Here is a 13,144-nt window from a genome sequence, read left to right as displayed (position 1 = left end):
CACTCACCCCTGTCAGCTCTGCGTCCTCGTTTTCGGTTCAGAAATACAGTGGTCATAATACTGGACACCCGGAGGAGATAGCACAAGGACAGAAGCTATTGCTTATTCATCTTTGATTTCCACAGCCTAGCATCGGGCCTCATGTGAAGGATTATCAGTAAATATTACTGAATGGATAGAAGGGAGGGAGGAAGGATAAAAGGAAGAAAGGAAAGCAGGAAGGAAGGAAGGAAGTCAACTGAAAAGTGAATGGATAACGTGAATTATGGCATTCTTTGGCTGATTGGCCATCTCAAAACAGATCCTGGTTCCTCTTAAAGATGGGACCATGATGTTGATCTCCAGCCTCGGGGCTAGTGGGAGGAGGGGGGGCTATTTGGGGAGACATGGGTAAAAAGCCTTGTATCGGGGAACACGAGTTCTCTCTCCACTCCCTGGCTTCTCCCATACATCCCTTCCCATCAGAAACCCTGGTCAATCCGGAGCTACCAGCATCCCAGGGCCAGGTGAGGCAACAGCCCCAGCACACCTGCCCAGGATATGGCTGCTGCGCACCAGGCAGGGCCCAGAGAAACATGCAGCCATGTGCTGCCAGAGAGCAGATGCAGCAGCGCTGGGCACTGAGGCGTGGCTCCAGCACAGCTGCTCAGGGGGCCAAGACCCAAGCATGTTCCTCCCAGTTCAGCATGTCTGCAGAGACAGGGTCAGGAGGTGAGGACCAGACAGGGGCCAGCCATTGAGGTTTCTGTGTGCCCCCTCTCCCCTTCTGTGGCCCTCCCTGCTTAGTCAAGGCCCCCATATCCTTGGTGCCATCTGCAGCTGCCCCAGTCCTACCCTGTCCTGCCCATGATGCCCTCATTCCTGAGGCTCCCAGGCAGCTTCTGCCCCCTCATTCATTGGGAATGAGGGTTCTCATCACAGCGGAGGGAGGTATTTCTCCCCAAACGAGTTGCTGTGAGATGATGCCAGGAGGGCACCGAGGCTGGCATGAGCCCCCACTTGCCTGCCCATCGGTATTCAATGGGAATTTATTGTTTTAATCAAAGTACTATGCTAAACAGGGAGTCCTGGGATCCTTGCCCTGGCATGGGGCCCAGCAGCTCCAGGAATCTGTAGGGGCATCTCTAAATAACAGTCCACAGAACACACAGTGGATTGATTCTTTTTTGGAGTGTGGCAGACCCCTCCCCTGCAGGGTGACGGTGGGTGAACTTGGAGGAGCATGTTCTAGGGTTCCTTGGTCTGAGCTAGGAGAGAGAGCGTCTCCTATTGGTCTCTATGCCTCAGTCAGGCCTCCAATCATTACTTCTTGAGACCTCTGTAGCTATTAGCTGAGTTGGACAGGCCTACCTGCCCCTTGCCCTGCTGTGCTTTCCTGAGCTGACCCTACCATGGCCTTAAACTTTTCCAGAGCAGCTCATGAAAAGCTCCTCCCTTCTTACCTGTCCTCCCAGCCCCGCGAACTGCCCCCGACAGAACAGCAAGCTCAAGCCCAGGGCAGAGGGGTTTATCAAGGCCGTGGTGCCAAGGTCTCAGTAAGTATCATAAATTGGAAGCCTGGCCCAGGTGATGCGGATCCACAGCTGGGGCAGGGCTTCAACCACGGGGCCACATGCCTGCCTTTCTGTGATGGGACTGTGACAGACGGGAGAGATCAGAGGCGTTCAAGCCAAAGGGAGGCAGGTCCCAGTTATGTCACTTCCTAGCTGTGTGACCTCAGGCAGAGCACTTGACCTCTCTGGGCCTCTCCCTCATCTGTCAGGGGAGGATGACAGCACAGGATGGTTGTGAGGATCAAGTGAGATAAAGTATATAGACTTGCATAAACGACGACGAGGCACCGGACAAAGGCAGGTTGCTATTACTATGGCTTCTGGGGCCCAGGTGGAAAGGGCAGAGGACCAGAGGCCAGACTTCTGGGAGAAGAGCTAGAAAGCTCAGTCCCTGTAGATAACCCCACACACCACAGGCTCCATAACCCCAAGACCCAAAAAGCCCCCAGGGCTGTGGCCTCCCTGCTGGAGCCACCTCTGACAGTGAGCACACAATGAGCTCCCTTCTTCAGAGCAGCCAGAGTAGGCTTTCATCAAAAGGCAAAACAGAAACGCTGCCAGGGCTGACCTCTTTGCCACCGCTCCTGGGGAAAGACTTTGTTTTGCGAGAAAGGAGGGGGCTACTCCTCCTCTCAGTAAACAAACTCGGCCATTCAATTAGTTCCTGCGAGGTGTTGATCATGCCACGGGAAAAGGCCGCAGCCCCTGCCTCGCAGCGGTCAGCTTCTGTGACTCTGTCAGGCAAATCAAAGAGGCGGCCTCAGGTGACCTTGTTTCATCTCAAACACACACAGGACCCCTTGTCTCCTAAAACTCATGCTGTCCCGTATGCACGGTTCTCAGGCCAAGACCTCCACCTTTAGTCCAGTCCTTAAAAACGGGAGATGGCACGAGGGAATGGAGCTCCTAGAAATGGACGCGGCAGGGGATGGAATTCAGGGGGATGAAACTCCAAATAGGCGTCCAGGAATGTAGGCGGGGTGGGCGAATGGCACCGCAGGATGCATGAGAAGAATGGAGGAGGGGCGGCAAGTGGGCAGAGGGGGCCAGGACACTGTGAGGCCTCCTTTCTCTGGTTCTCTCAGGTGCCATAAGGAGAAAACCTGGCGGAGTGTTGAGGTAGAAGACTTCTGTTTACAGCCATCTATCTCCCATAATTAGCCATTTAGGAAGAAAATAGCCTTCAAATTCAAAGGTAAATTGACTTACATTGGGATAATAACGTTTGATTGAGCACGGGAAGTTCATCTTTAGAGTATGAGAGCAAACAAATTGCTTTTCTTCCCTGGTGCTTGGAAAGAAACAAGATGAGATTGCAGGTGCTCCCAGAGCTGTGTTCCCATCGCCTCAGGGCATTAGCAGGCCCAGGGCTGAGCTGCAAAACCCAAGATGCCCACGGCTGCCGCTCAGTCTCTCTGCCAGTTGTTTTCTGATCCTTGTTCTGGAGGGTTTTAAAATTATATTGCATCACATTGATGCAGCAATCAGTTATTATTGTCAACAAGAGCATGAAGAGACATAAATTCTCTCCCTTAGATAGAGGCTGGTTCATAAATACATTTCTTTATTGCTTCCTAGATTGGAAAGATTGCTCTGTGCTTTGGCTTCCTGGAACATCGGGGGGCTGGGAGGACGGGGGACAAAGGGTTTTAAATTTCGCTTCTGACTAAGATTGTGAAATCCTGGGTAATTTCCTGAAAAGGTCACTGGATGCTGACCTTCCTGGGGTAGGAGATCCGTGGAGGGGTGAGAGAGAGAAGGGAATATGCAAATAACTAAAATAGAATGCTCTGATATGGACAAAACTGATGGGTGACTGGGAGAGGGAACAGTAACCCTAACTGAAGAAGTCAGGGTCTTTTTTCCCAGAGGAGGAAAGTTTAAGCCAAGCTTTGAAAGATGAGACATGGAAGTGAATGATCAAAGGTGTATAAGGAGCCCTTCCTTGAATACTTTGGATTCTGGCAAAAATTCAAATTTTACTTATATTCCTAGTAGAAACCAGGAATCATCTCATTGGAGCTCTATTTCAGCTATGTCTTTCTTCCATTTTTTCTGATCATGTATGTTTGGAGTAAGAGTAAAGGGATTTGCACCACCCATAGATTTGAGTGTTGGAGTGGGGTGGTTGGTGGAGTTGGGTGGTGCACATGCACAACCCAAGTGGCTAGCTCGTGGGTATGAAAGGTTTAAGGACCTAGAGTTTAAATACAGAGGAACAAGGCAAGAAACACATTTCTTCTTAGCTAATAAGGACCTAGATTAGTTATTTCTTGCTGTATTAAAATTAGCAGTTTAAGACAACAGACATTTATTACCTCTAAATATATGTGGGTCAAGAATCTGGGCACAGCTTAGATGGGCCCTCTGCTTCAAGGTCTCTCCCAAGGCTGCAATCAAGATGTAAGTCAGGGCTTTACCATCTCAAGGCTTACCTGGGGCAGGGTTGGCTTCCAAGCTCACTCACATGCTTGTCAGTTGGATTCAATTCCTTGTAGGCTGTTGGATTGAGAGCCTCATTTGCCCACTGGATACTGGCTACAGGCTACACTCAAGTTCTTGCCACATGGGCCTCTCCAATATAGCAGCTTTCTTCATCAAAGCAAGCATCTGAGAAGGAGAGACAGAGAGAAAAAGAGAGAGCCAACAGGACAGAACACGCAAACTAGTCTTTTATAACTTAACTAGAGAGGTGATAGCCCATCACTCTCGCTGTGTTCTATTGGTTAGAAGCAAGTCACCAGGTCTAGCCCATACTCAAGGGAAGGGAGCACACAGGGGTCTGAAAACCAGGAGGCAGGAGTAATTGGCAAGCTGCCCACCATGGGACCTTGGCTGTCAAGTTAAGTCCCCTGATGCTAGTCTAAGAAAATGGAAACCAGCTGGGGTCAAGTCAGGAACAGAGCCCTGGTCTTCTGGCTCTTTCTCCAGGGCCCTTCAACCACAGTGAAGGTTACACATCAGAGGGTCATTACTGTATGGACCAGAGATGAGGGAGTTTCTGGAGAAGCCTGATTAGAGCTTCTATATGCAAGAGCTGTAAGCAAGTCCCCTTCAGAGGCTTGTGGGGATACCCGGTATCTTGGCTAGGCATGAGGAATGACAGACCCCTAGAGGCTTCCATTTGATGGAAAAGACAAATGGGCCCCTACTTTCTATGTGGGCCTCTATGTCTCTGACTCAGATCCAGCCACATGCCAGAAGAGAAAGGGGGTGAAGCAGAGACCCGCACAGGGGAGCTAGAGGAGTAAACAGCCCAGGAAGAGCTGGTCACCTTTTCATTTTAAGAGTTAAAGAGAACAGAGAAGAAGAAGAAAAGAGTCAGGCAATGGAATAGCAGGTGCAGCCGAAAGCGTGCCTGCCTCAGAGAGAGTCCATTAGGGGCCAAGACACCGAGCAGGGACAATGCGGCTGAGACAATGGAAGCAGCTGAAAAGCCGTGGAAATTGGGTGTGCAGACTCCTGCTTCTGGGATGTCTTAACAGATTAATAAGGCTTTTGAGGATTTCTAGAAACATTTATATGAGTCAGAGCCCTAAGAGGGGCCAATGTGGGGTTCTTTGAAGCTTCTCTTTTAGCAGCTTGAAACAGCAGATGTCTCTGCACCCAGCAAGGAGGGGTGAGGCCTGGGCAAGCCAGGAAAAGCTATTGTGTCTCTAGAAAATGGGAGCCCACAAGGGGACTTTATAACAGCCATTGAAGTCGGAAGGCAGGCACATTTCTTAGTTTGGGAACAATTATCTGGCCAAACAATGGGAGGGAGGCAGCCACTGCTCAGGCACAAAAACCACGTGATCTTCAGACTGGGGTTGAGAACATTCTAGGAAGCCTAAGAGTGAGCCCTACAGGTCAGAAGTAACGCTTGCAAGACAAAGCCAGAATTATTATTCCCACTGCAGAGGTAAGGAAACCGAAGCCCAGAAAAATTAAGTGACTTGCCCAAAGTCCCTCAGGAGTGAATGACAGAGTGGGCAATCAATGTGTATCAGTTTGGCATTCAACTGGGTGTAGCAGAGATCCAAAGTAAGTGGCATAAGCAAATTAGGGGTTTGCTTTTCTCTCACATAAAATGAAGACCAGGAGTAGATGGGCAGCCCATCCTTAGCACTGGCTTCCATTCTTGGGTCATACCTCATGGTCATAAAATGGCTGCTGAAGCTCCAGTCATCAGCCCCACATTTCAGGCAGGAAGAAGAAACAAGAGGAAAGGACAAAAGAGGTGCACCTCCCAGGTGAATCAGCCATCTTTAAAGAAGCCTACCAGTGATCTCTGAATATTCGCATCAATCACCTCTAGCTTCTTAAGGAAGGCTAGGAAATCCATATTTGGTTAACTTGGGTAACCTGCCACACCAACAATGAAAGTACTGTAATGGTAAATAAATGGGAGAATGTATATTAGGTAGGCAAATAGCACTCTTTGCCCCAAGACCCAAATTTCCTGAATCTAAATCCAAAATTCTTTCCACTTCCTACATGGCCTATTGCAAACATGAACAAAATGTGACACACACTACTGAGCACTTCCAACCCCTCTGACCCTAGCAAAGTCACTGAACGCTTCACCACTCAGAAAGTCCCGCTCTTCAGACATTGGCGTGAGCCAAGAACTCCAGGAAAATATTCTTGCGCCTGCTCATTAGCTATTGGCTGGTCCAAATCTCTTCTCTAGGAGGTGTGGTCCACTCTGCTCAAATTACCTCAAGTCTCTACTTCTCTTAGGGGTCTAAGCCAGGCACAGGTCTTTGCTCTCACTGTACAATCCTCATAGGATGCTATGGGTGACTTAAGTGGCTGCTGTGCTCTGTTTTAGACAGAACTGTACTTCCAAATGATACAGTACTGATCAAGGTAGGTAGAAAAGTGAAGACAGGAATGGGTGCAGAGGATGGTGACCAATTGCATACATTTTTGTTAATTCCTCAGCCATCAGGGGTAAGTTGCCACATTCTGCCCCATTGCTATCAACTTTTATTCCGTGTCAGGGACCACAAGGGCTCTGTTTTTCACTGGCACAGCAAACAAGAGGCTCCACAATCCTCTGTCGGGGAAGGCACTCGAGAGAACCTTGGGACCACTTGCCCTTTGAGACCGAAATAGTTTGGAGCTCCAAGTGGGAACTGTGAAGCTGACGGCAAAAGAATGTGACAGGGTTGTCCTTCCCACCAGCTTCCTCTTTCCCTGTTTCCAAATTTCTTCCTGTGACATTTCAAGTTACAAGGCTCCCATCTCAGAACTTTGACTTTGAATGTCTTTTCATATTGGCCTTAAAGAAGATGGTGTCGTCAGTGACCTTTTTAAAAGACCACGGGGACTTAATTAAAAACTAAACTTGGCCACTTAATTCAGATGGTCCTGTCGACTCCTCAGCACTGATGTGAACTCAGCCTTGTCAGCTTGCAGCGGGCTACTGGCACTGCCCTTTGGTGTCCCGACATTGCGGAGCTGCAGAGTGACAGGCGGGCTCTGGCCCAGGCTCCAGGACCAGCGAGGCTGCTCTTGACCAGAGAGGGCCCCCTGCCACAGAGAGCCAAGGGCTCTGATTGGGTGGGTAGTTCTGGGTAACTCGTGCTGGGAACGGCCCTCCAAAGGGAGAGAATGGAGACACAGGGATTTTGGTGATGGCTAGTGTAAATCAAGGGAATTTCTGAGAGGTCTGTCTGGCTACCACACTCCAAAATTCTCCTAGGTCCCTGTTTTCCTCTGAATGACTTTGTAAAGAGACTAGAGCCCATATAATGCCCCATCCTGCTTCCTCCTGCTGCTTTAAAGATTCTAGAAACTGGTAGATGGATCTGCAGACACTCATCCTTTAGGCCAGGAAACTGCAGCCCGGGCTCTGTCTCTCTTGCCCAAGGCTAGAGGCCATCAAACTCTTCTGGAAGACCAGGCTGGATGGTTGATTCAGTTCTTATTACCTTATTAATAGTTGCTTTCATTCCCCCTTCCTGGAAGAAGAAAGCTGGGCTCAAGATGCGTAGGTGAGCTGTGAAGAGCTTTGTGCTCCTAAGACAGAATGTAGAGCTCCACACAGAGATACCTCCTCCCCACTCCCGCATGCCTGCCAGAAGTCAGGGAGCAGAGTCACTTCCCAGAGAAAAACCATCTCTTCATTACCTAGCCACATCAGATCACTGTCAACTCAATGCAGCTAAGAAACATGGCAAGAACATATCTTGGCCCTGGGGCCGAGGTCATCACATTCCTACCTTCCCCCCTTCAGAAGGGACAGAGTATAGTGAAAGGAGACCTAGAGTCTGGCACTTCCCTCACTAACTGGCTGTGTGACATTGGGCATGTTACTTTACCTCTCTGGGCCTCACTACCACCTCTAAAAATAGGGCTAATAATTTGTGACTTATCTGCAGATGATGATCTTGTAGGTTTCCTTTCACTTACGTTTGTTTGACAATGTACTCAACATCTACCATATGCCAGGTGCTGTGTTAGATCTAAGGATGCGGCAGTGAACAGAACATTCTTGTTGGTTGCTCCATGGGCATGAACACTGGATGTCAGAACTCCTGGGACTTCATGGCAGGTGACTCTCGAGATTGGTGAACAGCCTATGGAGAAGGCAGCTCAGCCACCAGCCAGGCTCGTAGGGCTTTCCGTTGGGTTCACCAGAGCCTAGAACAGACAGATTTATCCTGGGAGACTTTCCTGCCTTCCTAGGGGCCAAGGGCTCCCCACCTGCTTGGAGACCTCAACCACTTTCCTCTGCTCCTAAGGGAGGAAACACAGCACCAGCCTATATTGTGACCCTTAATCATTGTTTATTACAATTCTTTATGACCATAGACACACACCAAAGAAAGCCTTTGAAAACCAGGTGCTGCTTATGCCAGCAGAGCTAGAGAAGGTTCTGGAAAGGATGTCCTGGCTGGCGTCTGTCACTGCTGGTCACCTGGAGGCTTTGTATGCCATCAGGGCTTGTCAGTTCTTGCTGTCCCCCATCGCTCCTAAGGGGGCGGTGTGGCCTGGCTGCAGGTGCCTTCTGGCCACTGGGTCTCCCTGGGAGAAAAAGAACTCATTCTAGTCCTATCTCTGCCACTGACTAGCTGTGTGGCCTTCCTTAGGCAAAGGACACAGTCCTGAGTCATAGCCACTGAGTCCTCAGTAAGATGATGCTCACAATGCATCCCTTACCGGTTGCTGTGAAATTAAATGAGATAATTCAGGTAAACACTTGGTAAACTAAAGAGGCTCAAATCAAGGCCAAGTTTAGGATGAGGAAGACCTTGATAAGGGAGAAATAGTCCAAGATCTGAGTCATCAGCTAAGACAGGAGCCACACAGAGCCCCCCAATCCTGGGCGATAAACCTGGGACAACTAGCCTGCTGGGCTCCACTTTGCCAAGGGCCCTGCCAGCTCCTACACTGCCCTCAGCTCCGGATCTCTGGAGCCAGGCTGGAGGGGAGGCTGACTGCATTTCTCCAGAGCCAGGCTGGAGAGGAGGCTGACTGCAGCTCCTTTGTCTGCCCAAAGTGGACATCCACCCTCTTCAGCCCCTCACCCGCCACCCCCTCCACAAGTGGGTTAAGAGCCTTGGAAAGAGAAAAGAAGGCCGGTGAAGTGGCTCTTGAGTGCTCTCAGCCGGGCTGACAGCCCTCAGGCCTTGTCACCATCCCCACAGCTGCATGGAAACAGTGCCACGGCAGCTGGGGGAGCTCTGTGCCCATCTTCAGGGCACGCTCAGGACGGGGTGCCCCACGCCTCACAACCCAGAAGGCCCCTGAGGGTCCGAGGGCCCAGGGCAGCTGCAAAGTGACTTTCACCAGGAGACATTGTTCCCCCTCCCAGGGGCGGAAGGCCAACTGGGGCAAAACGCTGAGAAGCACGTGGCGGAAATGCTAACAGAAAAGATCGAGCAGCTCCCAAATGCAGGTTCCATCGCTGAGGCTTCAGAATTTTATATGAGCTTTAGGAAAACAACCCCTTCTATGTTCTATTCAGTGTCTCTGCCTTTCTATGAGGACCTGCGGCTGGACAGAGGAGAGTTGGCCAGGAGCATGGGTTAGAGAATTTAAGAGCTGGCCTTAGAGATAGTTTCTGCTGCGGCCTCATTGCACTCTTAAAGGCACCACTCATGAGGCCTCTGAGGCCCAGCAAGGATAAATGACCGCCCAGACCCTCCAGCAGTTGAAGGCCCCATGCTATGTGGAAAGAAAGAAGGAAAAACGAGGCTAAAGGAATTCTAAAGTTACACAGCGAAAAAAGTGGAAGGAGCTGAGATTTGACAGTTTCCAGCGATTCCAAACTCATGTTCTTTCTCCTACACCCTGTAGCTTCTCCAAGAAGATTGGAGTCTAAAGGGCGCAGAGTTTCCTCGAGGAGCTTCTGGTCCAGTGAGGGAGATGGAATTCATCCAGGTAGAAAGGACCATAGCAACAACAAAAAAATCACAGTACGCCATGAATCCTGTGGCTCCGACCCAGCCCCCAGCCCTACCCTTCACCTTACTGTTAGTTTTCACCAGCTCCTCCATCCTTCCCTCCCTTCCTCTTCTGCCTGCCTTCTTCTCCAGGTAGATGAGTCCCACAGCTTACTTCAGATCTCAGGGCAGAACCTGTGACCAGGAGGGAGGGGTGGAGGATGGGAGGAGGATACACTGTGCCAATGGACAGAGGGAAGGGAGCCTGGGGATGTGATTTCTTTTCCCCAATAAAGCAGAAAGTGAAAGGCAGGAGTTTCTGCAAATGTCATCTCTTTGTTCTCTCTTTGTGATTTGTCATCTGCATCCACCACTGAGCAGAGTACAGACCTGGCCTTGCCCTCTGGGTGGAGGGGGACAGTTGTATTGCACCACTGGACCCCCTGAGTCTCGCAGTGATGGCAACGGTGCAATGGGCTAACCTGAGCAGCTTCCTGGAGGGGTGATCTGAGAACCATGACTCAGAACCTGGCTTCCCAGCTTCCTAGGGCTCACAAATCCTCTTGAGAATCTACTAAAAGCTATGAATGTTCTCTCTCCCTAAGGCTTATATGCACGTTCACTCAGAATTAAGGAATTGCACAAGTTCTGCAATTAACTCCACTCCGTGCAGGCCCAGACCCCATGGATGACCCCCATTCCAGATTGTCTCATGCATACAGGGCAACGTGGCTATGGAGAAATGATCAGCAGACAAGCAAGTCAGAGGAGAACAGACAGCAGGCCACAGGTCCAGCCGGGTGTTCATTGCCCACCTGTACCCAGAGGGGGTCACAGCAGGTTGGGAGGTACTGGCCTGCCTACTGCATCCACTTAGCACGAGGGCCCCTCCCTGGTCCCCACAGTGGGTAGGGAGTGGCTGTGGCTTAGAGCTGGGGACAGTGTGATGAGGCTGCTTGCTGCCATCAGCCAGAGAGAGCTGGTGGCGTGGAAATGCTGGCGCCCCTGAAGCCTCCCGATAACGGTGCTAAATAAAGGTAATTTTCAAGTCACCAGTTAACAATGGCTGAGCGCGCAAGCAGTGACCGATGAGTCAGTCAATTACAGGATGAGCTGTGGGAGAACTGCTCTGAAGAGCCTCCTGGCCCACGGTCTGTATCCACACAGGGGTGACCTGCAGACGACAGCATCCTGGTTCCGTGGTAAGCATCTGTTTCTCCAAAGCCCTGGCTTTTTTCCTATTGGAGACCCATTCAGACAATCTGCAAGTCGGCTGACGGGGTGGGAGCTGGAGGCTTCAGGCCTAGAAGCCCTTTGTGCAAGCCTCCTAACGTGGCTGGACCATGTGCCTGCTCCCCTCAGCCCTCCCACCCCAGCCAGCTCCTAGCCCCCTCACAGGAAAGAAAGGTACGCCACGCCCAGCCCTCTGCTCCCAGCGGCAGCCTGCATCGGTTCTCTCAACAACAGGCCTTTTCTGCCTGAGCTGAGAGTGTCTTGCTCCCAGCCCTTCCCTGCTGTGACCACACCCAGCTCAATAGCTTTCTCTTCCCAGAGCACACAGAAAAAGGCCTTACCTGCGACTGGTGCCAAACTCACATCTTCCCCAAGGCCTCCCCTGATGTGCCTCCTGGGCTCCCCACCCTGGCTCCCTCCTCCCTTCCCTCTGGCCCCAGGCGCGCTGTTTCCCGCACAGCAGGCATGCAGAGTGTACTGTGTGGGTTTTTTGCCATGGTCCTTTCCATCCTGATGTATTCCATCTCCCTCAATGGACCAGAAGCTCCTGGAGAAAGCTCTGCCCCTTTAGACCCCAATCTTCTTGGAGAAGCTACAGGGTGTAGGAGAAAGAGCCTGAGTTTGGAATCGCTGGAAACTGTCAGATCTCAGCTCCTTCCACTTTCTTAGCTATGTAACTTTAGACTTCCCTTGGCCTTGCTTTTCTCCTCCATATAAAGGGAACAATGGTACCTTTATAGTACTGTGTTGTTATAAGGATTCAGACCTAGCATTGTATAATAAGACATAGTATTATAGGGATTAAGACATAGTATTTCTCATCCATATAAAGGGAACAATGATACCTTTATAGTATTGTGTTGTTATAAGGATTAAGTTATGGTGTTGTTATAAGGATTACGACAATAACTGTTCGGAAAGTACCTAGAACAAGGCCTGAGGCATCATAGGCACCCAGCACATGCAAGTCCCCATCCCAGGGGCTCGACAAAAGGCCCTGGAATGTTATTTCCTGGCCCACCTAGGGCTGTGAGCAAGGCCTCAGCTGTCCCAGGGACTCCTCTCTGGAGAGTCCAAAGGCAAGCGACCCCCAGCCGTGGCACTGCACCCTGAAGGATGTGATAGGGGTGGGAGCTGTTGGCCCTATGAGAGGCCTATGTTGCTTGGGCTCCAGGGGTGGTGAGAGGGCCCAAAGGCAGGCTGACTCAGGCCTGCCTTTCCCCCTGCCAGGACTTCCTGCTTAGTGGCCAAGTGTAAGTTACTTAAACTTTCTGAACTTCAGTTTCCTTACTGGTAAAACAGAGCATGGTCATACGTATGACAACACGGTATGAGCTGTAAAGAGCCTAACTTAGTATCTAGGACATGGCAGGTGATGAAGAAATTGTAGCAATATTTATAGTGCTCCTGTTCCTCACCCAGTTCAGGCCTTCAGGACAGAGAGCTTTCTCTGAACAGCCAGATCCTTCTAGAAGCACTACCACCCTGATGGGGCCCCCAGAGCTGACCTCAGGTCCAGGTGCAAGGCAGAGCATGGCTGGTATACACAAGGCTGGACAGGAAGAGCATGTCTGAGATCTTGGGCAAGATGTAGAAGCCCTCTGAGCTGCCATTTCCTCATCACTGGGAAGTGCAGGTTACATGTGCAGTAATGCCCTGGCTGTTATAACCAGCCGGGGCCAACCTTGCACAAACCTCCCACCAGAACACACAGGATTTCACCCTAAGGGATGTATGCCTTTAGGTTAAGGGATTCTCTTGGTGAAGGATTGTTACCTGTGGAATACACCTGGTTACAAGCGTCCAGCCAGTCGTTAGATGTTAACATCTTAATACAGCATTTGAATCAGATCACTTTTGGGGTGCAGGTGTGGGAGAGACAGGATCTCCCTCTGTCACCCAGGCTGGAGTACAGTGGTCCAATAACGGCTCACTGCAACCTCCTCCACCCGGGCTCAAGCGATCCTCCTGCCTCAGACTCCC

At 50.7% G+C, this 13,144-nt stretch overlaps 1 protein-coding gene and 1 long non-coding RNA gene across 18 annotated transcripts in view, besides 3 other annotated features; one reads left to right on the top strand and one right to left on the bottom strand.

Moving 5' to 3' along the window:
• The window catches only part of KIRREL3 (kirre like nephrin family adhesion molecule 3), a 580,037-nt gene that overhangs the window by 399,132 nt on the left and 167,761 nt on the right, over window positions 1–13,144 (top strand). The window lies entirely within an intron of this gene.
• The window catches only part of KIRREL3-AS1 (KIRREL3 antisense RNA 1), a 68,564-nt gene that overhangs the window by 8,128 nt on the left and 47,292 nt on the right, over window positions 1–13,144 (bottom strand). The gene's annotated exons all lie outside the window — the stretch shown is intronic.
• Window positions 1,654–2,431: an enhancer, noted in NCBI's record as "NANOG-H3K4me1 hESC enhancer chr11:126471727-126472504 (GRCh37/hg19 assembly coordinates)". NCBI's record gives its function as "activates a minimal SCP1, AML or CMV promoter by ChIP-STARR-seq in primed H9 embryonic stem cells {active_cell/tissue: H9 hESC(primed)}" and the evidence as "EXISTENCE:reporter gene assay evidence [ECO:0000049][PMID:30033119]".
• Window positions 10,637–11,165: an enhancer, noted in NCBI's record as "H3K4me1 hESC enhancer chr11:126462993-126463521 (GRCh37/hg19 assembly coordinates)". NCBI's record gives its function as "activates a minimal SCP1, AML or CMV promoter by ChIP-STARR-seq in primed H9 embryonic stem cells {active_cell/tissue: H9 hESC(primed)}" and the evidence as "EXISTENCE:reporter gene assay evidence [ECO:0000049][PMID:30033119]".
• Window positions 11,166–11,695: an enhancer, noted in NCBI's record as "H3K4me1 hESC enhancer chr11:126462463-126462992 (GRCh37/hg19 assembly coordinates)". NCBI's record gives its function as "activates a minimal SCP1, AML or CMV promoter by ChIP-STARR-seq in naive H9 embryonic stem cells {active_cell/tissue: H9 hESC(naive)}" and the evidence as "EXISTENCE:reporter gene assay evidence [ECO:0000049][PMID:30033119]".

The sequence above is a fragment of the Homo sapiens genome, chromosome 11 (assembly GCF_000001405.40).
Source record: "Homo sapiens chromosome 11, GRCh38.p14 Primary Assembly".
In the NCBI taxonomy this organism is placed as follows: domain Eukaryota; kingdom Metazoa; phylum Chordata; class Mammalia; order Primates; family Hominidae; genus Homo; species Homo sapiens.
Note: the sequence above shows the minus strand (reverse complement) of the source record. Positions and strands in the feature narration are given on the sequence as shown.